Source organism: Homo sapiens, chromosome 3 (assembly GCF_000001405.40).
Source record: "Homo sapiens chromosome 3, GRCh38.p14 Primary Assembly".
In the NCBI taxonomy this organism is placed as follows: domain Eukaryota; kingdom Metazoa; phylum Chordata; class Mammalia; order Primates; family Hominidae; genus Homo; species Homo sapiens.
In genome coordinates this window covers 63,542,423-63,568,615 of record NC_000003.12, presented here as the reverse complement: position 1 = coordinate 63,568,615, position 26,193 = coordinate 63,542,423, and the positions used below count along the sequence as shown (strand labels likewise).

The following is a 26,193-nucleotide window of genomic DNA, read 5'->3' as shown; positions in this document are numbered from 1 at the left end:
TAGTAACTCCATAGAAATAAGAAATTCACTTCATAGAGAAATTCAAGAGGGGACTTTGATTCCTGGCTTGAGTCACTTGACCTTATAGGTATCAAGTGAGGCACCATGATTGACCATCCGCCAGGACTATATAAGTGGGAGAGGGTGGTTCTCCCAAAGAAGGGACTTGTGTATGTCTTGCTACTGTGTCCCCCACCTGTCTTGTGCACAGCAGATGCTCAATAAGCTAATAGATATTCTTGGCTTTTTTCTCCACTTCCAGGTAAAAAATGGGGTGGCAATACAGCACTGTGGTGAAGAGCATGTCTCTGGATCACACTCAATATACAGCACTATTTAAATTACTTAACCTCTGTAAATTGGATTCAACATCTGTAAAATGGGAATAACAATAAGTGCCTTAATGGTATTTGGAGAATTAACCAATATAACTTCTATTTTATTTAATTCTTGGCCTGTGGAGTAAGTGGCAGCTCAATGGCATTTAACCTCACTTTTCCCTAGCCTCAACTGCACTTTTTTCTAAGTTCTTTTTTCCATGGTAATAATTTCACTTTTTTCAGTCTTGCAATTTCTAGATTGTCAATAGTCTACATTATTTTCTGCCCATAATGGTAACTAGCCAATTGGCTAGTGGGCCAATAGGCCACAAATAAGAAACTCATTGCAATTCAAGCTTAGCTGTCTATTTCTTGAGATAGCATATAAATTGATTAGATGTTTCTTAGATATTTGAGAACAACGTGGAAGAGCATTCTAAGTTGCAGATCTCAGACAGGTGGTGGAACAAAGGTGCGATCACTCCTTGGCCAATCACTCAAGTGTTTTCAATAACCTTGTCCCTCATAAGGGATTCAGATCAGTTTTACCTGCTATCTCTTCCTACCTGTTCCCAGGGCAAATTCTGAAGCATTTCTTTGCATGCATCTGTAACTTTGATTAGGATCCTGCTAATCAGCAATGGAAATGAAGATGTCCCCCTGCGGAAAGGGCTAACTTTGTGCCAACTGTTTGAAAGTCTAATGAACTGTGAGTATTAGAGCAAGACATTCTTAAGCTGCTGAGACCCCAATGAAGCTAAAGCTGTGTGTGTGAGTGTGTGCTTGTTCTGGATTCAAGGAAATAAATTCAGCAACTAGTAAGGATGTTTGCCATCTTGGGGGATGGGGAGGGGAAGATCTCACAACTTTCAAAAAATGATAGGAGGATGAAAGTCTGAGACTAGTTTCTCAGCTGGATGCCCCAATCAAATTTCCAAGTTTCATCCTGTTACGCTATTGTGTTCTTTACACCCTTCCACTTTTTTTCAGACTTGCCAGCTGGTGAGAGATTCAAACTTCTGTTCTCTGGAGGCTGGTTGGCTGATTTAATGGGGTAGTGCTCTCTCCCCTCTTTCCCTAAACCATGAGATCTGAGTGCCAGAGTGGTAGTGGGATAGCTGAAGGGAGGGGAACAGAGTGATGGGGAAAAGAGTGAAGCTATACATTAGGGCTGATTGCATTTGTCTATAATGACAGCAGCTTATGCTGAGTTGGGAGGCTCAGAGAACAAAAAATAATATAGAAGAACATTTGATGTAAACAGGACAATAAGAAGCCTTCCAAGCATTTCTCAAGATGAGAAAGTCAATAGAGTGTGTACCCATCCACTTGTGTTTCAGCTGATCAGTCCAATGAGATTTAATCAACACCAGTTACAGAGAAAGCAGAGTATGGATATGATGGTAGATAATCATAAAGCTGATAAAAATAATGGCTTGCATTAGTTAGCACCTGCTGAGTGCCTGGTGTTGTTCTAGTGGCTTTATGGGTAATAACCCATTTACTCTGACCAACTACTTTATAAATTAGGAAACGTTAGTCTCTTCATTTGATAGATGAAGACTCAGAAGTATAGAGAGGTTCTATAACCATCAGTCCAAAGTCATACAGATGGTAGATGGTGGTACTGAGATTTGGGCCCAGGCAGTCTGAGTCCAGAGCCCAAAATTATAACCCCTCCCTGCTAATGTCTCCCCATCACAGATTTTGCCCTCAAGGGTAATAGGAATAAAGCAGGTAGTTTGAGGCTAGGACCTAGGTTTTATTTGACTTCATGTCCCTAGCGACTGTAAGAGGGTCTGGGATCCAGTGAGGCCTACACAGCCATGATCATTATTCTTGAATCTGAAAAAGAGCTTTACCTCACCATCAAAAAGGAAACATAACATGAAATTTTGTTTCATTGAAAAACAAAAAGTAAAACCCAGCAGTATCTGAGGGCACACAAGGAAAAATCAATACAAGATGAATTAGCAAAAATAATTATGGATAGTTGTTCTTTAAATAGTAAAATATTTTTACTCCCATTTTTCCCAGATCTTTACCACTTTGGGAGTCTACCAAAATTACTTGTGGTAGCCGTAAAAGTTAAACTAGTGCCCAAGTTGCTAGGAAATATTTAATTGGCTCAAATTCCATAATTAGATATGGAGTCAGGAGCAATATAAATGCTCCTGAAGTATTCTAGAAAAACGCAAGAGTTCTTTGATGAGTAACATCTAAAACTGGATAGGGAAATGAGGTTGACAGCATTTTTCTCTCTAGGATGTCAGCTAGATCAGAAAGCAGAGCTTAGAGGAAAGAGACTATGAAGCTGAAATGTTTAGGTTGGGCTGAAGAGTGTGTTTGTGTGTGTGTTGGAGGTAGCTAAGAGAGGGGACACAAGAGGATAGAAGACAATATGACAGCCAAAAGCTAGCAGTGAGGTTCCTGGACCCAGAGGAATGAACACGGTGACAGGTAGAGAGTTCCCCATAAGTAGAATTATTCAGAGAAAAATGAAGCAACGTCTAAGCTAAAGTCAAGTGGACCTGAATTGCCTCTAGGACAGGTAACCTCCAAGATGGTGCCTCATTGCAGCATCCTCTGAAAGGGAGGAATGCTGTGTCCTCACATGGCAACACATGGATATTGGGGGTCATGGGCAGAATGCTAGGATTTGAATTTGTCCTCTTGAAAAGCCTTGTGTTGTCAATGTGATAATATTAAGAAGTAGGGCACTTAAGAGGTCATTAGACCATGAGGGCCCCTCCCTCATGAATGGGATTAAGGCCTTTTTAAAAGAGGCTTCCCACATGTTCTGCTCCGTTTCTCTTCTGCCTTCTACCACGTGAGGACGCAGTATTCCATCCTTCCAGACGATGCTGCAACAACGCACCATCTTGGAGGCAGAGGGCAGCCCTCACCAAGCAATAGAACCTGCTGGAAACTTGATCTTGGACTTTCCAGCCTCCAGAACTGTGAGAAGATTAATTTCTGTTCTTTAAAAATTACCCAGTCTCAGGTATTTTATTGTAGCAAGACAAACTTAAGACAGCGGCAGGGGGTTGAGTCAGGGGCAAAATTGTCACCTCCCTCCTCCCTCTCCATAGGACAGGAGTTGAAAACCCCTGGTCTGTCTGAGAAAGGAAGCCAAGTTTTCTCTGGGTATGCCAGGCTATGGAGTAGAAACATTTCACATTTCATTTTGTTTTAAATGAAAAAGAAAACATATAGGAAAGACACACTGGGGCTTTGCTAAGTTTCTGCAAGATCTTGATTTTCTAACTGAATGAGGAATTCCCTGGAATGTAAGGAAATGTGACAAACGTGGATGGGGTTGGGACAGACATTTTCCACCAGCCCACCAAAGGCACAGACTCCAGCAAAGGACAAGAAAAGCTGTGGGCTCTGGAAGAAGCATGAATTCTTTAAGCAGTTCACTGCCTTTATTAAGGCTACAGAACTACAGCTCATCTTTTTATTAAAGTAGCTAATTCGAGAAATGTGGTACCAAATACAGTGGGAATGAACCTTCATTTAAATTGTAATTAAGAATTCACTAATCGTTAAAAAGCTGAAAAAGAGCTGAGGATGTGAGATCCGATAAAACATCTAGAAAGCACACCGGGAAAATTTTGAATGGATTAATGTATTTGCCTTCATCTGTGCTGCCAATTCTGAGAGAAATGTACTTGATGCAAAATTTATAGTGGTTTAGATTATGAGTTCATTTAAGGTGAAGTCCATACATTTTTGCATTATCGACACTTCTTATCTCAGAGAGTGAGGAGGTGAGACACACACACACACACACACACCGGCTGGGCACGGTGGCTCACACCTGCAATCCCAGCACTTTGGGAGGCTGAGGCAGGTGGATCGCAAGGTCAGGAGTTTGGGACCAGCCTGGCCAACATGGTGAAACCCCGTCTCTACTAAAAATACAAAAATTAGCTGGGCATGGTGGTGCACCCCTGTAATCTCAGCTACTGGGGAGGCTGAGGCAGGAGAATGGCTTGAATCCAGGAGGCAGTGGTTGCAGTGAGCCGAGATCGACTGTGCCACTGCACTCCAGGCTGGATGACAGAGCAAGACTCTGTCTCAAAAAAAAAAAAAAAGAAAGACACACACACACCCCACCCACCCCACAAATCAGTGTCAGATTCTGATAGGTGTGTCTATGACTAACAACATACATACACACTTTTGGGGCTTCAAATGATATTATGTTTATCATCAAATACACTGTTCCTGGGGTAGAACTTCAAAAACAAGGTCCTTCATTTGCCTTGCTCACCAACCTCAAGATGCTCTCGAGTTGTCTTTTTTTTTTTTTTTTCCATATTTGAGAGTATTTATTAAAATGCAGTTTATAGGAGTTTTCTAGCAGTAAATATTTGTTTTTATTTTTATTTTTTATTTTTTTATTATACTTTATGACAAGTCCACAGCACAGAGACCTGAAAAGGGCATGCCCTCACTTCTAGGCAAGATTATGCACCTCCTCCTCTAGGTTACCAAAGCCTGTCTACATACCCCTAGCAAGCCATTTGTAGGAGAGTTATAATGATTTAATGATTCAATAATGTTCCTCAGCAGACTAAATGCTTTTAATTCACCCATAAATACATGTTTCTTGGCCTGTTGAAGACACTTATTACCTATTAAAATAAAATAGACATGAAATGGAACTGACATAAACAGGAGAGAGGAGAATGGGGAGAGAAAAGAGGAGAGAAGAGGAAAGGAGAAGAAGACAGAGGGGAATTGGGGAGAGGGAGAGAGGGAAGGGGAGAAGAGAGAGCACTTTCTCAGCAATTTCTGTATAGCTCAGAGACTGCAAAATCTGATTTCTGTATCTAATTATACTCAAACAAAGGTGTAGCTGGTGGGAAAGAGCATTTGATTATTTGAGCATCCAGCTCCATATCTCTTTGTTATTTTCTTCCCTTAGTGATGGCCCCAGCCTGTAGTTCAAAACAAGAAACCTTATTTTGTTTGGGGAAATTTAAAGTCTACCTCCCAGTCATCTAATGGAGTGGGATTCAAGAAACACAAAGGTTAATTGGATGGTTCAACCTAGCAATTGTGATCTTACAAGTAGTCCTGAGTTAAGCTCTATCCTTGGCGACTTGGGGATAAGAAGGTGCATGGGATAGAAGGACTGGAGGAAGACAGAACTGTGAAAGCAGCAGTCAATCAAAGGAAAGTGCCTCCAATTTTCCTTTGTGGGACTAAGGAACTACCCAGTAATGGACAGGAGAATAATTAAAATTAATGATAATAATAGTGCTACAATCAGATACCATTAATTTATCACTTACTGTGTGCCTTTCCCTGTGTAAAGTGCTTTTCAGGCATTAACTCTTCCTTTCCTTACTGCACTCATGTGATGTGCACATTATTATTAACACTATTCTATACGTGAAGTAACAGCTTCCACCTGTTAAATAATATTTCACACAAGAAGATTAAAATCCAGCACCCCATAAATTAGCCACTACCCTGAAGATCACTGGACTAAGAGTTTGTGTCTTTGTTCTGCTATTAACTTCTTCTCTGATACAAGCAAGGTTTCTAATATCCTGGACTTATTTTCCAATGTCTAGCGCTCACTAAAGAGGAATTAAATTGAATCTGTAGAATAGGGTTAATTCTCATTGCACTACGTCTCTCCCAGGATTGTTTTGAGGCTAGATGGGGAAATAGGAAAATATTTGGAAGGCACTGGTCATGAAACCAAGGTGAGCCGTGATACCACTGTTTGCCTGCCATCAGTAAACACTCCTGGTCCCATAAACTGCCTTGGGTCAACCTGGTCTCCTTTATGGGAGGAGAGTTTGAATAACATAGCCTCTGTCTTTTACACAAAATCTTAAGGTGGATATCAAGCTTCTTCCTAATTCCCAGAGAAGTTATTTTAAGCCAAACGTCTTGCAATACAGATTCACTGAAACATGAGATGGTATTTATTAATGTACTCATTCTTAGAGCATTCAAGCATTCTGTCAGTCTTGTAAGATAAGTTGCTTTTAAAAATCTGCTTTACATTAATATTGGAAGAAAACTAAATCCTCATTATTTGACTTGAGATCTGAAAATGGCTCAGAACATCCTGTCACAGTAACCTAGGCAGGAGATTGGCTTTTAAAACTATAAGGAACATGACAAAATGATATAACCTGATATGACATTTCAATTTCACAATTATGCACCATTCACACGGACATTTCTGCTTTCTGAGAGCTGATATTTATTTATCTGTACATGAAGACACTTACTGTAGTGACATACAGTAGCTGGCTGATTTCTTTGGCCCAATTTTCTAACTATTATATCATTCAGCATCATTAACAATTGTGTTACTTCTAAAGGCATTCAGATTCTCATTTTTACTTAAAGGTGGGCAATCTTGTCATACATATTCAGTAGAAAAAATTTTTTCAGTAGCCATTGATAAACTTGGCTCAAGTCTGTCTGAAATTGCTCACAACTGCTTGGAAATGCATAGGAACAAATCCTGGTAATCTGTGATTCACAATACACATTTATCCTGGCCATTTTAAAATTTGTTTTCTCTCATTGGTATCTTCTATTTGCAAGTCAGATAAATGGCACTTAGAAGCAGAACCCTCTAGTAGTTCTAGTACGACAGATGCATGGCTGTCATTCCATATCTCCAGATGGATTCTGGAGGCAAATAAAATAAAATCCTCTATGACAGTCAAATGAGCAAAAGAGCCTAGGGATTATGAGCTTGATTTATTTGCTTCTAGAGTAAAACAATACCAATTTGTCTTACCTATCTCCACCTCTCTAACTTCTGTAGCACATTGGCTATCAGGATCTTGGGCCTCTTGCATGGTGATTATGAATTGAGCTCTGGATTTCAACCCACACTCTGAACCTTCTGCCTATAAGTGATGCAACCAGGGAGAGAGAGTTGGTAACTGCTCTAAGCTTCCCTTCTCTCATCTATAAATGTGAATAATAATATAAACTAGGGTTGTCTTGAGTATTAAATTAGCTCATCACATAGTAGAAACCCAATCAATATCGGTTGATGTTATTGTTATTATCGTCCTTGTCACTTCCCTACAACATTAACTTTATTTGTGCAGGATGTATAATGTCATGTCCCAGAGGACTATAAATTGAGATGAAAATTTGTTAATTTTTTGGATGTGAACTACCTTGGAAGGGTATCGGATTTCTTAAACTGCTTGAATTAGTTTATGTTCACCTGATACAGCAATTTTGTAGTTTCATGTTCAAAGTTTGACTTGAAGAATCACAAATTACATAAATTTTTTTTAAAGTGTGTGTTTGGTTAGAAACAAAATAATGACAAAAAATAGATGGCAACCAAAATGAAGTTGCCCAAATAATGATCAGTAGTTGATATGGTTAGGCTTTGTGTCCCCACCCAAATCTCATCTTGAATTGTAATCCCCAGGTCTTGAGGGAGAGACCTGGTGGGAGGTGATTGGATCATGGGGGTGGTTCCCCCCCTGCTGTTCTCATGATAGTGAGTGAGTTCTCATGAGATCTGACGGTTTTATAAGTGTTTGGTAGTTCCTCACTTGCTCACTTCTTCTCTCTTTGTCTGCCCTATGAAGAGGTGCCTTCCACCATGATCGTAAATTTCCTGAGGCCTCCCCAGCCATACGGAACTGTGAGTTAATTAAACCTCTTTTCTTTAGAAATTACCTAATCTCAGGCCATTCTTTAAAGCAGTGTGAGAATGGACTAATACAGTAGCCATCTTTGTGAATAAAGAGGATGGGTTTTAAACAAGCAAAATTATTGTGAACACTTGAACAAATGCTTTTCTAGTATTTGAAAGTTTTCTTAAGTAGGCACTACCCTCTTGAGACCTTGCTCCTACTGTGAATTCGCTTAAACCTGCTCTTCACAAATGGTGTCATAGCACCCCTTACTTCCCCAATCACAGCTTCATCATGGTGGGATTTGAATCGATGTGGTTTGCTCTTTGCAGTTATAATGGCATCCTGCTGATCTACATGCAATCTGCCTCTGTGACTCCTATGATTCAGGCTCATCTTTAAATTAACTTTATCTGCCAAGTAATGAGCACTTCAGTTTTTTAATATTAAAGAAGTTTCATCTAGGAGACTTTTCTTTTTTGATTACTAGAATTATCTCTCTCTGTTCCTTCCTCCCACGACATAATGAAACAAAACCTACCATTGTATTATACAATTCAGGATTTCATCATATCTTGCTTGATGGGAAAGACTGTTTACACAGAGATAAAGCAGCATGCCTTTACAAGATCATTTTATATGAGTAGAATGTGGTTTTATATAACGAAATAGTTTTTTTCCCACTTTATGTGTGGATTAGCTGTATCAACTTTTTCTGTTTAGAAGTCAGGATATTTCCTCAGGCTTAAAAGTCCTGTGAGCATGTTTACATGGATCCAGAAATAAACATGCATGCTGGATTTATGGTATATGCATTACAATCTCTTAGGTATGTCCATCTGTACATCATGGTGGGGATAAGCCCAAGTTTGGTGACTCTGTTAAAGATATTTTGAAATCATTTAGACTATTAACTGAAATTTGAGATAGAAAAAAAAAAAAACACTTGCCCAAAGTTTCAAATTCTGTTTTGTTACTCTTTTTTTAAGTTAACATATTAAAGTGTTGCACACCTGAACATTTTCTAGTCCTTTCAAACTTAACAAATTTCTAAAAACAGAGAATTCTCCCAGTTATCCTTCAAAATTTATTGTTTTAAGGTTCAGATCTCTATAATAGGGATTTGTGAAATTTATTTTACTCACATACTCCCTAAAATAATTTTTAAAAACTATGTCCCTACTTGTATAAAGTTGGCATCTAATTTTGTTTTTATTGAAAGTTCAAACAGTTGCAAATAAAGTAATTTCTGGCATATTAAATGTATTAGGCTGGGCATGGTGGCTCACGCCTGTAATCCCAACATTTTGGGAGGCCAAGGCTGCTAGATTGCTTGAGTCCAGGAGCTCAAGACCAGCCTGGGCAACATGGTAAAATCCTGTCTGTACCAAAAAATACAAAAAATTAGCTGAGTGTGGTGGTGTGCGCCTATAGTCCCTGCTACTTGGGAGCTTGGGGGGCTGAGGTGGGAAGATCATTTGAACCCAGGAGGTGAAGGTTGAAGTGAGCCGAGATCGCTCCACTACACAGCAGCCTGGGTGACAGTAAGATCCTGTCTCAAAAAAAAAAAAAAAAAGAAAGTATTGATATTTAAAAATAAAATTATTGTATCAATTTTTAAATGTATCAATGGAACAGTTACTTGATATTCTGTTATAATGAACAGATATTATCTTATAATTAACAAGTTATTTAACAGGTAGAAATTTTACATCTTCCTTTTGTTCTCCTTGAATTTGTATTTTTATTATACTTCCCTCACAGAATTATAGCACAATATAATTTTTTTTTTCTGGAAAGCATATTATTAATTACCCTATTATATATTTTTTGCAACAAAAATATTTATACACATTTAAATTAACTGTTTAATTATTTGTGATCCTAAGACTTTAAGTATTACATTTCTTTTGGGTTGAGTGATCACTACAAGTATTATTAATGCATAATTTTTCAAAACAACAAAAATATGTTATAAACTTAATATGTAATTATTAAATTTTAAAAATAGCCAGGTAGAGTGGCTTATGCCTGTAATCTCAGCACTTTGGGAGGCCGAGGCGGGAGGATAACCTGAGTCCAGAAGTTTGAGACCCTGTCTCTGCAAAAAATATGATGAAACCTTGTCTCTGCAAAAAACACAAAAACTAGCTGGGTGTGGTGGCATGCACCTGTTGTCCCAGCTACTTGGGAGGCTGAGGTGGGAGGATCATCTGAGCCTAGGAGGTGGAGTGAGCTGTGATTACGCCACTGCATGCCAGCCTGGGTGGTGGCATGAGACTCTGCCTCAATAAAATAAAACAAAAAGTAAAAATTTTATTGAAAATTTACAATTCTTAGATGAATAGGCTGTGTTAGTCCATTTTGTATGGCTATAACACAATACCTGAGACTGGGTAATTTATAAAGAAAAGAGGTTTATTTAGCACATAGTCTACAGGCTGGGAAGTTTAAGATTGGACAGCCACATCTGGTGGCTTGTGGTGAGGGCCTTGTGCTGTGTCAAAACATAGCAGAGAAATGAAAGAGGAACTGGGTATGTGGGAAAAGGGATAGAAGACAAAAGAGGCTGACTCAATTTATAACAACCTGCTCTCACAAGAACTAATACAGTCTTATGAGAACTAATGCAGTCTCTCAAGAAAGACATTAACTCATCTTAGTTATCTAACCAGCTTTAAAAAGCACTGCCTCCTAACACTGCCACATTGAAGACCAACTTTCAACATGAGTTTTGGTGGGGGATAAACTGTATTCAAACCATAGCAGTTAATATATACTTTTTTTGATAAACATTATTTATTTATAGAATAGTACATGATTCAGCATAAATTTCATTTCCATTTTTCCTTTTTTAGATGTAAATGCTGAGAAAGCTTGCTTGCATAAATGAAAACAAATGGAGTTTTGTTATAGCAATACCATTTATGACTTTCTTTTTGAGTTATATGTCCCACATCGCATAGTAACATGTCACCGAAAATTATTTTTTAATGATCAATCAACTGATAAGCATATTAGAGTTTTTAATTTTATTGAAAGCCAAAAAATAGTAAACCTCCTTATATCCAAAAAAGTATATTAGTCAGGCATCAGAATCACTTTTGTCAACACCAGCACCAATATTTCAATGGTCCCCTTTTCAGTGTCCCAAATGTTTTATATTCTGTAAATGTACTGTGTAGTAAGACTTGAGTTGGTAAATAAGGATACTTTTCTTTTCTAAAATGGGAGTAGTTGATTAAGAAAGATGACAGTAAAATATTTTAGATACAGGGCATTCTCGGGAAGATAGAGTTTGGGCAAATGCACATGTAAAGGGTGAAATTTAAAATTATTTCCTTAAAATTATCTATGCCTAGGTACCCTCTTAGAGGTTTTGTGTCCCCCTAGGTGTATGTGTGTTTATGTTTAGAAATGCTGGGCTATATTGATTTCACTCATATGAGTCCTTGGACCATTGTACGAGGCAACAGAAAGTGAGGTGTAGGGTAAGGAATTGGTAGGAAAAAGACATAGATAGATAGATATACAGAGATGAAGAACTCCATTTTCAAACTAAACAATTATTAATATATGATCATCCTATAATATAACTCCACAATGCTGGAATTATAAATAAATCTACAGCAAGCTTCACTGCTCTTTCCTTGATCTCATGAGATTTCTAATCATTTATTTCAGAGGGGTTTCTAGCAAGTTGGGTGATACTTTCCCAGCCCAGGAGCACAAGAGATTGACAGACATCAGTTTTTGTTGTGGCTTCGAGAGATTTGGATAAAAAAGAATGTGATTTCCTTTCAAACACCTAACCCGAGGGCTCAGGTAACTCCAAAGTCCTTCAAGCATTAGTAAAAGAAATTAGAAGGAACAGAAAAAGTTATTTGAAAAAGAAAACCACTTACAATGAGTGGGCCCCGGTTGTTTTCCCGGTATTTGTTCTGGAAGAAAATGTAAACGACAGTGGCAGCCAAAGAGTAGAGGAAGGCGAAGACAGCAACAGTGACGAAGAACTCTGCTGAAGACGAGGAGTCACCAATCAATGCCAGCTTCTGCCGTTCCTTTCCCTCGCAGGTGGGCACCTCAAACGTCACCTGGTGCAACCTAAATTGCCAGATTTAAGGAGACATTCTTTAAATGCAATGGAGACAAAAATACATGACTTGTGTCTACATCTTCTAAAGCAAAATGGGATGTGATCTGGGAGTTTTAGTGCATGCCTATGTAACATATTCATTAAGAAATTTACAGACATTATAGCTAGAAATGTGGAAATCAATATTGCAGCTAATCATCATTCAACTGGTTATCATAACAGCTAGTCACCCTTAGGTAGAGAGGAGGAAGGAAGGGGAAAGGGAACCTGAAATCATGATAAATTAGACAACGACATCCCCCTGCTGAAATTCTTCAGTGCTTCCTCTCTTTAACAGGGCTCGCCAGGCCTTACCTTGGTGCCCCTAACTGTATCTCCAGACTCCTCCCCTGCTGCTCTGTCCTCCATCACCCTGTTTCAACTACATTGGCCTGCTTTCTGTTTCTCAGTTATGACAAACATGGTCCTGTCTCCAGGTCTTGTTGTTGACTGTTCTCTTTTCCTAAATCACTCTGCCCCCTGACATTTCCCATGGCTGCCTCCTTGGCATTCAGACATCAGCTCAACATCTCCTGAGAGATGAGAGCCTTTTCCTGCCATTAATCAAAAGGAGCTCCTTTCCTTTAGGCATTTGCTATTACATCACTCTATTTAATGTCATTCGTAGCACTCATTAGCAGATAAAGCTGTCTTGGTAATGAATTTGATTACTTTTTTTTTCAGTCCCACTGACCACTCAACTGTGAATATCATTTCTCCATGATAGTGGGAATCTTGGTTTTCTTTTTTTCTGTGATCCCAAACACCTGACATTTTTTAGGCACTGAGTAAATAGTACTTGGATAAATGAATGCACATTCTTGGTTCTGTAAGATGACTGATAGATCATAATTTGATTGAACTTTTATAACTTCTATTTTAGTGAGTAAACTCTATCAGGATAGCATCCAGGCTCAATAAATTACTGGATACAGACAAAATAAGATGCTTTGGGCAATACTTTCAGCTCAGTAAGTAACACCTAAGGAAGATGTGTTATATCCAATATAGTAGCTCAGGGTGTGAACTGGAACTAAGTCGTGAACTATAATTTAATATAGAGGCCAAAATTTTTCTTCAGAAATGATAATTAGGGAGGCACTTGCAAAAAGATATGACTGAGGCTTATTTATGACCATAAAGTGCCACTTGGAAAATTATCTATAAAAGTAACAGTGATGATAAAGCCATTCACGAACCTCATAAATTCCAACTTATACTTAGGAAGTATTTTTCTTACTAAACAAAACTCAATCCCTTTAAAACGGATCTGTTAGATGTCCTAGCCAGAGCGCTCAGGCAAGTGAAAAAAATAAAAGGCATCCAAATAGGAAAAGAAGTCAAACTATCTCTCTTCACTGATGATATAATTTTCTGTCTAGAAAATTCTAAATAATCTGCTAAAAGCCTACTAAAACTGATAAACAATTTTAGTAAGTTTTTGATATAAAATCAGGGTACAAAAATCAGTAGCATTTCTATACACCAATAATGTCCAGGCTGAGAGTCAAATCAAGAGCACAATCTCATTTACCATAGCCACAAAGAAAATAAAATACCTAGGAATGCAGCTAACCAAGGAGGTGAAAGATCTCTACAAGGAGAACTATAAAACTCTGCTGAAAGAAATCAGAGATGACACAAATAAATGGAAATACTTTCCATGTTCATGGATTGGAAGAATCAGTATCACTAAAATAGCCCTATTGCCCAGAGCAACTTACAGATTAAATTCTATTCCTATCAAACTACCAATGTCATTCTTCACAGAATTAAAAAAAAAACTATTCTAAAATTCATATGGAACCCAAAAAAAGAGCCTGAATAGCCAAAACAGTCTTAAGCAAAAGGAACAAAGCTGGAGACATCACAATACCCAATTTCAAACTATACCACAAGGCTAGAGCAACCAAAACAGCATGGTACTAGTACAAAACAGACACATAGACCAATGGAACAGGATAAAAAACTCAGAAATAAAACCATACACTTATAACCGTCTGATCTTTGACAAGGCTGACAAAAACAAGCAATAGAAAAAGAACTCCCTACTCAGTACATGGTGCTGGGATAAATGGCTAGCCATATGAAGAAGAATGAAACTGGACCCTTACCTTTCACCATATAAAAAAATTAACTCAAGACGGATTACAGATATAAATGTAAGACCTCAAACTCCTGGAAGAAAACCTAGGAAATGCCCTTCTCAACATTGGCCTTGGCAAATAATTTTTGGCTAAGTCCCCAAAAGCAAATGCAACAAAAACAAAAATTGGTAAGTGGGACCTAATTAAGCTGAAGAGTTTCTGCACAGGAAAATAAACTATGAAAAGACCTACAGGACGGGAGAAAATATTCACAAATTATGTATCTGACAAAGGTCTAATATCCATAACCTATAAAGAACTTAAACAAATCAACAAGCAAGAAATGAACAGCCCCCACTAAAAATGAGCAAAAGATGTAGACACTTCTCAAAAAAAGACATAGGGCTGGGCATGGTGGCTCACGCCTGTAATCCCAGCACTTTGGGAGGCCAAGACGGGGTGGATCACCTGAGGTTGGGAGATCGAGACCAGCCTGACCAACATGGAGAAACCCCATCTCTACTAAAAATATAAAATTAGACGGGCATGGTGGCGCATGCCTGTAATCCCAGCTACTCGGGAGGCTGAGGCAGGAGAATCACTTGAACCTAGGAGGCGGAGGTTGCGATGAGCCGAGATCGCGCCATTGCACTCCAGCCTGGGCAACAAGAGCGAAACTCCGTCTCAAAAAAACAAAACAAACAAACAAAAAAGACATAGAAGTGGCCAAAAAAATATTAAAAAATACTCATCTTCACTAATCATCAGAGAAATGCAAATCAAAACCATGATGAGATAATATCTCACACCAGTCAGGGTGGCTATTCTTAAAAAGTCAAAACCAACAGATGCTGACAAGACTGCAGAGAAAAGGGAACACTTATGCACTTAGCCACCATGGAAAGCATTTTGGAGATTTCTCAAATAACTTAAAACAGAGCTACTCTTTGACCCAGCAATCCCAGTACTGGGTATATACCCAAAGGAAAATAGATCATTATACCAAAAAGACCCATGCACTTGCATGTTCATGGCCATGCTACTCACAATAGCACAGACACAGAATCAACTCAGGTGCCCATCAATGGTTGATTACATAGAGAAAATGTGGCACATATACCCCACGGAATACTATGTAGCTATAAAAAAAGAATGAAATTATGTCATTTGCAGTAACATGAATGGAGTTGGAGGCCATAATCCTAAGCAAACTAAGGCAGGGGCAGAAAACCAAATATGCATGTTCTTGCTTATCAGTGGGAGCTAAACATGAAGCACACACAGACGTAAACATGGGAACAACAGACACTGTGGAGTACTAGAGTAGGGAGGCAAGAGGACATGGGTTGAAAAGCTACTTATTGGGTGCTATGCTCACTGCCTGGGTGCAATATTCCCATGTAACACACCTGCACATGTACCCCCATATCTAAAATAAAAGTTGAAATAGAAAAAAAAACCAACAGATTTGTTGTGCACATCATCTTCCAATTAAGATAATAATGTTAATAACATAATAATGGGAATTAACATATTGGGGCATTTCTTATGGGCCAGAAACTAAGGCTTAGAAAGATTAAGTAATTCGTTCTAAGCCACATAGTAAATGTCAGTCCAGGGGTTTAAATCTGCATCAAACTCCAGAGCCTGATTTTTAAACTTCTACATTGACTTGTTTATGTTAAATAATAAGGACATTAACTAGGATATATATATTTTTAAAGTGAAGCTCATGGACCACTGGCGTTAGAATTACTAGGGACTATGTTTAAAATGCATATTCCTGGGCCCCATCTCAGATCTACTGAATTGAAACCTCTAGAGGTATGCTTAGCTCACAGCTAAAGCAGGAAAATCCAGTCCCCTTAAGTTCCTTATTTCTCAAGTCCATTTGTTTTTGCTTGTATATATTGCACTTTCCCACAAAAATCCTTTTTCTTAACAAACATAAATGTGTACAGCTCCAACAAAATTCAGGACAACAGAAGCATTCATTATGGTTATATCATAGAGCCCCTTTCCTACCCTTGCCAGTGATATTAGAATCTTCCTCAATAGTTTTGTCTGTAGAAATACTGAAAAATGAAATGGATTTAAAGGTAATCATGTCAATTATTCTGACACAGGTGATTTTCAGATAATACACACTTTTTCTCATTATTTAAAAAAAGTGGCATTGACTTAATACACTTTCAACAACTTTATAGTTCACATAATAGCCAGATGCGGCCGGGTGCGGTGGCTCATGCCTGTAATCACAGCACTTTGGGAGGCCGAGGCAGGCAGACTGCCTGAGGTCAGGAGTTCGAGACCAGCCTGACCAACATGGTGAAACCTCGTCTCTATTAAAAATACAAAAATTAGCCAGACATGGTGGCGGGCACCTGTAATCCCAGCTACTCGGGAGGCTGAGGCAGGAGAATCACTTGAACCCGGGAGGCAGAGGTTGCAGCGAGCCAAAACCAGGCCATTGCACCTCAGCCTGGACAACAAGAGCCAAGCTCCGTCTCAAATAAATAAATAAATAAATAAATAAATAAATAAATAAATAAATAGCTAGATGCTGGGGCTAGAGTGGGGAATAAAGAAGAGATGGAATGGTGCCTGTCCATGTTGAACTTAAAGTTTAGAGAGAAAGGATGGGTTTTCTGAGAGGAATCTGAGGCTAGTTTGAGGGTGGGGTAGCCAAGGTAAGATTCCCTATGGAAGTGACTTTTAGGCTGGAGATTTAAAGATAATAGGAATTACCCAGATGAAAAGTTAAGAAAGAAAGCACAATGAGATACTACTTCACATCCACTAGGGTGGCTATAAAAAGAAAGAGTATAAGATTGGAATTATAAGTGTTGGTAAGGATGCAGAGAAATTGGAACTTTCATGTTTGCTGGGGAGAATGTAAAATGATGCAGCCACTTTGGAAAACAGTCTGGCAGTTTTTCAGGTGGTTAAATATAGAGTTATCATATGACTCCATTCCAGCAATTCCACTCCTAGATACATACCCAAGAGAAATGATAACATTTGTCTACACAAAATCTTGTACAAGAGTGTTCACAGCAGCATTATTCATAATAGCCAAACAGGAGAAACAACTGCAATGTCTATTAACTGACGAATGAATAAATAAGATGTAGTTTATTCATACAAAAGAATATTATTTGTCAAAAAAGTAAAGTACTGATACATGCTACAATATGGATAAGCCTTGAAAACATTATGCTCAGTGAAAGAAGCTAGTCACAAAAGACCACATATTCTATGATTCCATTTCTATAAAGTGTTTAGAATAGGTAAATCTATGGAGACAAAAGCAGGTTAGTGTTTGCTTAGGACTGGGTGGAGGATGGGAGAATTGTACAGTTTAAATGGGCAAATTGTATGGTATGTGAATTATGTCCCGATAAAGCTTAGAAAACAGGAAAGAACACGTACCAAGCTCCTGTATAGGCAAAGGGCGTAACACATGGGGGAATAAAATGTGGCCTGGAAAACTGGAAGATGGTGGGAAAGGGAATGGTGGTGCAGGATGGGGTGGAAAAGTAGCTGGGGGCCCCCATTGTGGGGTCTTCTTGGCCAGGTGGCCAAATTATAGATTTTGGCTTTAATCTTGAGACAAAGATCAGAAAGATCTTCTTAGAATAAACCATATGTAAAACAAAAACACATGTCACCTGTTGCAATTATCTGCGCTTGATAGTTTCCAGGTGCCAGGCTGCACCCCAGGATCAGCATGTCTCCAATGCACCTGTTCCTTCAGCTGACATGCACAAACTAGGTCTGCAATCTTTGTGTGTGGTGGAGACAGTGGGGAGGGAGAGAATAAAATATTTTTAAAAATATGCAGTCAGCCGAATAGCAATATTTTGCCCATTGCTGACTTAGCATGTTGACTTAAAGAAATTGTTAATTGTGCTTATCTGTATAAGACAAAAAAAATTACTAAAAGACCTTATTAACACTGATGATGTATAGCTGGATATTTAGCCTACCAGCCATACTGGGTAAAATATATATATATACACACACACACACAAACACACGTGTATATACATATGTGTATATATATTTGTGTATCTATATATACACACACGTATATGTAACTGTTGCTTAAAAGAGCTTATATATAAGAACTTTATAAGTTCTTATAAGCAAAAGGCATATATGTGTATAAATACATACATATTTATTTATATATTATATATAAGTTCTTTTAAGCAACAATTATATATATGTATAAATTCATATATTTTGTATTTTGGGGGGAAAGTGTATAGTCAGCATGTGTTTTGTAGCTGTAATAACTTTGGAAGCAAATATTCATTCAGAATCTAAACAAGGAAAAACCTTTCTAAACAGAGCATGTCATTCAACAGAACCTGGATGTTGACGGGGCCACCTCTGATCTTGTGAGGAACTAGTCGGCGAGCAATTGCTGAAGCTGCAAAAGGTACCAAATTCAATTTGTTGATTTCAAATGTAAAATTCTCTTCCTGGCTTGCCCGACCCAATCAAGAGGTAATCGAATTTCACTGGGTTTAACCGCATTGTGTCTATCAATGAAAGGCCTCCATTTTAGAGTGGTTTCTTTTAAAAAAAAATATGTACCAATGTTTAAATGGAGTCATTTAAAACATTTCACTGATGCTTCAATTGGGTTAAAGAAAATATTGAGTCCCCATAGTTTTTAGTTACGTTTGTAGGGTCTGGAGTAATATTAAATGCAACTATCCTTTCAGGGGACTGGAGCAAGACAAGTGGCATTGCTTTATTGATAGAAATGTTTGTAATAACAACCACCAACATTTTTCAACCTAGGCATTGTGCTAGGTTCTTTACCTACTTGTATCTCATTTAATGCTCATAACAACTCTCTTCAGTGGGTACGATTGCTGTTACCATTTTACAGAGGAGGAAACTGAGGCTTGGAAAGAATAATGACCTTGCCTGAGGTCATGTGGCTAGAAGATGGCAGAGATGAGTCAGGAATGTAAGAAGAGTAGAAGGAGCCTACACTGGCAAGTACTGCGCATACCTGCCTCTCTTCTTTAAAAATTACAGCATCCTTAGATTTCCAGCTGAATATTTGTAAGCAAATGACCCAACCAGCTTTCCCGTGCCATCTCATCTAACGGTAGACTGATAGTCTGTACTGAATAGGATTCTAAACCAATGTTCATTCTGCTACCACCTTGAAGTATGTGAATTAGGCATTGTACAAGGTACCCAGCAGTGATAGAGTTGAATCCCTGTAGACTGACCGATAGAAAGCCATTAAAAACTTGCTAATTTCCAAATCTTGTCCTGGGTTATTCTAACATTTGCCTCAGAAACAAGTAAAGGGTAAATGAACCTGACTATGCCATGTTGTGAAATTGTGATAATTGTGGTGTGATTTTTTAATAGAAAGTGAGACATTAGGTAAAACAAAGCACAGATTTATCTTTAGGTAGCACCACACTATTATGGTCATCTGATAATAAGACCTTTGAAATTATTGACAAAACCTTTTACCCGGTGTGGAAGGAAACAGGACTAAAGCTCCTACCAATACATTTGGCGGTGGTTCAGTGCAAGACAGAAATGACATGTCCCAAGGGCAGTGATCCAGCCCAGGAGCAAATGTGGGAAGGATTAAGGTGTGGGGGAGCAGGCTGCTGTCATTGAATTTCTGGTAGCTGGAATTCAAGATCAGAGGGCAATTGGCAAATTGTAGTGCTGAGTACGTTTTCTCTTTACGTGATTATTTTTGATAGGCCCTGTTTCAATTCTGTTTACCAGTCGACAGGAACTTTAATCCTTTTGCTCCATTTTTATCCCTCTCTTCCCTATATGAAATATTGGCACTTATCTGCTTTTAGATTGCGTTGTCTTTAGCTAGCCATATGTATGTGTATGTGTGTAATAAGTGTGTTTGTGTGTGCATTTACAGATGCACACATACACTCTTACTTACTCAGCTTATGTGATTCACAACATAAACCACTACAAAATCCTGAAAATTTATGTAGCACTTTCACACACTGCATCTCATTTTTCCCCCCAAGTAGCCCCCCAACATTATGCAGATAGGGAAGTTGGAGCTCAGCTATCTCAAAAGAATCACTAAAGATCACCTGTTGGCACAGAGTAGTGGAAAACTTAGCACTCAGGCTTTCTGATACCAGCTCTTAGTTGTTTTACTTATGACCCAAATTTCATTTCCACGTTTTCCAAGCCACTGACTTCTCCATTATGCTCAAGTCATTCATTCATTCAGTAAAGATTTATTGAACTTCATGTGCCAGTCATTAGAAACAGATGGGGAGACAATGAACTATGGGGAATGAGAGTGCAGATTATCTGGAAGGTTGAAAAAGACAAATCCTTCTCTGTTACTTCCACTGGTTTTCTTACTGTACCTGAAGCATGGTATTCGGTGATGCTATTTAGAATGATGATGGTGATTTCACTTCTACTGCTGGATGCCAATCAATGATTGACATTTATTGAGCATACACTAGCCCAGGCACCATGCCAAATGTTTTTGTCTGTTATCTCACTGAAACATTCAAATTTGATCAAGTGATTACTATTAAGTTATTGCATGTTAATTTTAGGAGCAAGGAGACTTTTTGAAGTAGGGCCGAGAAATGGAGTCCGTATGACCCCAAAGCTCTTGCTCTTAACCTCCCATACAAAAACAGTGCAATGTTATCAATTGTTTGTATCAATCACATATTTGGTGACTTCTTGCACCATTGAGGGCTTTTCTAATGGCCTTCTAGCAACTGACTCTCACTTGTTACTTTCAGTCCTTTCTCCATAGGACAGTTCTCATAGGATGAATATATGGGAACTGCGGCCATTGTTCCATTGCTCCACTGGCTCATGGGTGATTCCAAACTGGGCCTAAAAACTCACGTTGATTGGAATAAGATTCTCCTTTATGCCACCAGCACCTCACAAGGCACATTACGCTGTCCTCAAAATGTGGGGAGAGAGTCTGCCTTCCCAGAGTCTCAGGTTTAGGATCTATTTGGGGTAGAAAAGGCAGACAAATTCGAAGTAGGGACTGAGAACAGGCCTGGAAAATATGCACATCATGGTGAGAACTGAGAGAAGACTCCAGCAATTGGACTCAGGTTGCTTAAGTTAAGAAAAAGTTTGATGTCTTCAGTTTGCAAAGGGGGAATAGAGAGAGTAGATCTGAAATGTAAGACTCACTTGTGGAAGGTGACAAGGATCAATCTATCTAAGATATCTTTATTGAGAAAAAGGGTCATTACTAGAATTTATCCAATATCAAAGCAAACAGAAATATAAAACGATCTAGTACACACACATTTTTCTAGGAGAACCTCAGGGATTCCAGTGATGCTATTTGTTTCCAGGAAGGTCAGTGGACATTGAGATGACTGTACCTACATTCCCATATGCCAGACTCAAGAGATGAACTCCATATCTTCGGATAAATGGCATTTTCCAGGCAGCCAGAATCATTTTCCTAGACATTTCTTTCCTAACCTTGGTTGAATCAAAAACAGTTTCATCTCCAAGGCTTGCAACAACAGCATGCACGTGCTAAAAATATTTTCTTTAAAAAGAAAAAATCTAAGTGAAAGACAAAGTGCTATACTTCTGCTTTTCAACATAACAGAGGTATTTCTCCTTGATTTGGTTATGCATTAAGTGTCTTAAAGTTTATTGTCTCCATAGGAGGAACTTTTTTTTTCATAAGAGGAAATTTTCATTATTTTTTGTCCTCTCCACTTTACCATTAGAGACAATGATTTTTTTATTTTAAGGAGGGTAATAATAAATATCGAGCACAGGGAGTGAGCTAGACACTGGAAAATGCAATCAAGATTACTGCAAACAATACTCTTTTCTACACTAATAATTGTACTCAGACATGTGAAGATAAGGCTGGAAAATTACTGTTCCCCCCTCACCCCCAGCATGTAGCTCCCATTTCCATGTGCCAGAAAGATGTTTATCCAACTTATTGAAAGTGTATTGTGGTTTTAAGAATATATATGCCAGGATCTTTTCAAATTTCACTCCTCCCTACAGTTTGGATTTACACAGATAGACATTTCAACATGAAACTGTGGACTCTAAGGTGATTAAAAAGGGATGGTTTGCAAAGGCCAAGGTATGATCTGGAGTAAAAGGGAAGTAAAACCCTATGAAACCCTTACAGTGACTTGCAAAGAGGCATTGCTGTGCTCACTAAGCTATGATTTATTAATTTTGGCTCTTCAAATAGAATTTGAGTAATAGAGAACTCAGACTGCCTCTACGTTGTCAAATTAAAATAGATATTGAGGTCGTTATCTGTACATTTCAGGGAAAATCCTTTCTTCTCTCGTTTGCTTTCCCTGAGCTGTGGTACTCTACCCAAGTGAATTGTGAAACAAAAACAGTCCTAGAGTTGGTTTTTAAAAAGTTTGAATGTCCGGTTGACAACGGCTTATTCATCTATTTTATTCGGTTAGTATAGAAATGTATCAGGAATAGACAATTTAAAGTCTTTGATTAAAAGATATTTATAACATTTAGAAACATACAGGAAGGTGGCAGAAATCTGACCTTTTGTTTAGAATTTAGGTCAAATTGATTTTAATCATTAATTCAGTCAAAACGTGCTATTTATAAAAATTCAACCAATACAGGAATGTTTACAGGAGGAAAAGGTAAGGTTCTTCATAATTTAATCTCCAATATTAACAACTTAAAACACTGAAATTAAACACAATCTTTAATATACTGTTTGCTACCTAATAATATGACCTGTACATGCCTTACTTTTTCAAGGAGGATCTGCCTTATTTTTTTTAACAGTCATATAATATATGTACAGGACTATGAATTATCATATTGTGCTGTTCTGTATGTTAGGTAGTGAAGGTTCTATAATAATTTTCCCCCATCCAAGTACTAACCAGGCCCGACCCTGTTTAGCTTCTGAGATCAGGGCGTGTTCAGGGTGGTATGGCTGTAGACTATAATAATTTTCTAAATAGCCTCACGCTAGTGGACATTTTGAATTTATATACTCTGGGTCATGTTACATAAGTTTTGTTAGATTCTTATTAGGTTTCTTAATTCCCAAAATGTTAAGATTTACTAAACCCCATCACTTTGGTGACCTAGTGCTGAAAATGGAAATAAGAGCTGGGTTCTAAAAGTTTCATTGAGACTATTTTACATTTTGTCCAACATGATAAAACCAGTTGACAATTCCTCCCTCTACCCATTACTTACCTCATCTAGTCTCACACCCAATGGCGACATAGTAACGAATATTCAAGTATCAGTCCCAGCAATGAAATGTTATTTCCAGCACCCTTTCACTTCTATTTGTCTCCATTTTGTGTCCAATGGAACGCTACCCTTTCACATGTTTTTTTTTTTTCCCCTAAATCAAAGGCAATATAAAGCATCTCTGTCAATATTCAGCTATTTGACCTTGGACGAGTCTCATGTGTTTCTGAGCTTCAGATTTCTCATCTGCAAAATGGAAGAAATAAAAGCACCATATTCATAGGATTGTGTGTGTGTGTGTGTGAAGTTTGAATGAGATGATGGAGTATATTGTACTTGTCATGGTGCGTGAATGTAATTGACAATTACAGGTGCTATAATATGTGAACTGTAAGGAGTTTCAAAAGCTCACAATTAAAGGTGTAAGTCTGATTACTAAAGTTGATTTTAAAAATCCAAACTCTTTTAGAAAGTAGATTTTAAAGAACTGGAAACAGGCATATTCTATTACTATACAGTTCTGTCAAAAAGTCCCCCAATCAAGCAGTTATTTGGTCATTTTCTGTTATTGCTTACTGTCATTTCATTATTCATGTAATAACTGGCTTCACTAAATGCTCAGGGTAGGCAACTTAACAGAACTCTTGCTGGGTAGGAAATTCAATATATATGCCAGATTATAATGAAATAAATAGTAATCACTTATGCATATAGAACAAAATACAATCTCCTTTAAACCACTGAAAAGGTATTATCCTGTCGGCTTTGGAATTGTAAATTTCCAATTCTTTAGTGATTAATATCACCATAAATAAACAAATCCTTTTTGAGAAAATGTCTAAGACACAAGAAAACATTGTACATTTTATTTAACTAGGAACAGTTTGTTGAACGTATTTATCAGCTGGGGATAGGAAAAGTACCCTTTATCGTCAGCACATATAATGTCACCCGTGTCTCCAATGCTTTGCAGGTGACTGGGAGATTAATCACACAATCTTCAAGCTGTATTTGTAACATGACATGTAAGAATTCATTTTCCGCACAGCAACCAGGTATCTTTCAAAAGCATAAATCAGAGCATGCCACTCCTCTGTGTAAAGCTCTTCTCCAACGGTTTCCTCTTGTACTTAGTCATATTCAAACCCCTTAACCTGGCCCACAAAGATGGACGTCACCTGGATCATGGCCACTCCTTTGCTACCATCATGCCCACTTGCTTCTTTCTCTTACTAGAATAACGCCCCGCCACCCACCTTATTCCCAAGGTCTTTGGATTAACCTCCATATTGTCCATGGCCAGCTACATAAGGGAAGGTGATGTTTAGTGAAGTAAATTCTAGAGAGTGAAAAGCAATTAGTCAAGTACAGTGTCTAGGGCATTGAGGAAGGGTAGGGGACGAGGGCTACTTCCTGCTTATCCAAGCCAGTGTCCTGAACTTCTTTCTCCAGATAAATTACCCCAATTTGGACACTTTTTCAATGAAATGCAGTTTTATACAAAGTCTAGCAAGGGTTTGATAGGAAAGACTGGACTTTTTAATGAGGTCAATGACACTGATCTAGTCATAGAAGGGTCAAAAAAGTCTTTGTAAAAGAAAATGGTATTTAATTATTGGAAAGGGCTCAAAAACAAAAACAAAAACAAAATAACCAAAACAGCAAGCAATTCCTTTCACCCACAGATTAAGACCTATCTTCTACTGATAATTTTCCTCTTGATTAACAGAATATTTAAATAGAACAGAAGCTAAATTAAACTTCCTCTCCTGATGATTAAAAATCAATGTCTAAATCATGTGACTATATGCTACAAATAAGTCTTACAAGTAATTTAATATTCAATAATTTTGTTTGGCTTCCTAGAAATTCTTAATGCTTCTGACAACTCCAAATCAGAGATCCTCAAACTCTAGTTTGGAATGTCTGAAACTCTTTCGAGGGATGCATTAGATCAAAATTATTTTCATGATAACACTAAGATGTTGTTTGTCATTTTACTCTCACTTTCTCACAAGTGTATAGTGGAGTTTTACAGAAGCTAGATGATGTAAGAAGCAGCTATTATTCTGACAGTTCATGGAATGTGCATTTGCATATTTTTGTATTTAATAAATTTATTAGTTATGATTTCTAATATGATAAATATCTATGGATATAATCTACAAAAATAAAAAGCTCTTTGTGGTCCTTAATCATTTAAAAAATGTGGAGGGGTCTTGAAACCTCACATTTGAGAACTGCTGATCTAGATGATAAATTTTGACTTCCCTCAAATTACCTCATTTTACTTATGCCCACTTTTGGTAATTCAGGTAATATGGGATAGATGGCCTGATTCACCATTTTACATAGGTATTTCTTTTCACTTAGCAGGTATTTACTGAGTATCTCCTATATGCAAGTCATCACACTAAGCAATAGTTTTTATTGTCATCATCATTCAAAAAGTATATGGCAGGTGCTCTCTGTCCTCAGTGAGTACTGAATAAAATGCTCTTTTATCCAAACTAAAACTGCCTAGATATTCTCTATTCAACTGATTGTCCATGCCTGACTCAGAGAGGAGCCCTGTCTAAAGTTATAAATGCTCCTTGGTCTTTGACCATTTTACTTCTCCAGATTTCTCAGGCTAGAGGTAGGAAAATAGAGGTCAGACTTAGACAGCCCACTGGAGTGATTACTCAGTATAAACATTACCTCTCCAATCCTTTATCTCATTCCTAAAGGGAAGTCAGAGACTGAGGCTTAATATG

General features: G+C 37.9%; 1 protein-coding gene, 1 long non-coding RNA gene and 1 pseudogene across 5 annotated transcripts in view; 1 reads left to right on the top strand and 2 right to left on the bottom strand.

The window, feature by feature from the left end:
* The window catches only part of SYNPR (synaptoporin), a 416,321-nt gene that overhangs the window by 48,309 nt on the left and 341,819 nt on the right, over window positions 1-26,193 (bottom strand). For all 4 annotated transcript variants that reach the window (XM_017005731.1, NM_001130003.2, XM_017005732.3 and 1 more), the window contains one exon: window positions 11,875-12,073. In XM_017005731.1, the coding sequence (XP_016861220.1) occupies window positions 11,875-12,073 (199 nt within the window). The remainder of the gene's footprint in view (window positions 1-11,874; window positions 12,074-26,193) is intronic.
* Window positions 18,565-26,193, top strand: part of SYNPR-AS1 (SYNPR antisense RNA 1) — a 126,456-nt gene continuing 118,827 nt past the window's right edge. Inside the window, exon 1 of the long non-coding RNA NR_046677.1 lies at window positions 18,565-18,638. This is a non-coding gene — a long non-coding RNA (SYNPR antisense RNA 1). The remainder of the gene's footprint in view (window positions 18,639-26,193) is intronic.
* On the bottom strand, window positions 23,096-23,176 carry RNA5SP134 (RNA, 5S ribosomal pseudogene 134; annotated as a pseudogene).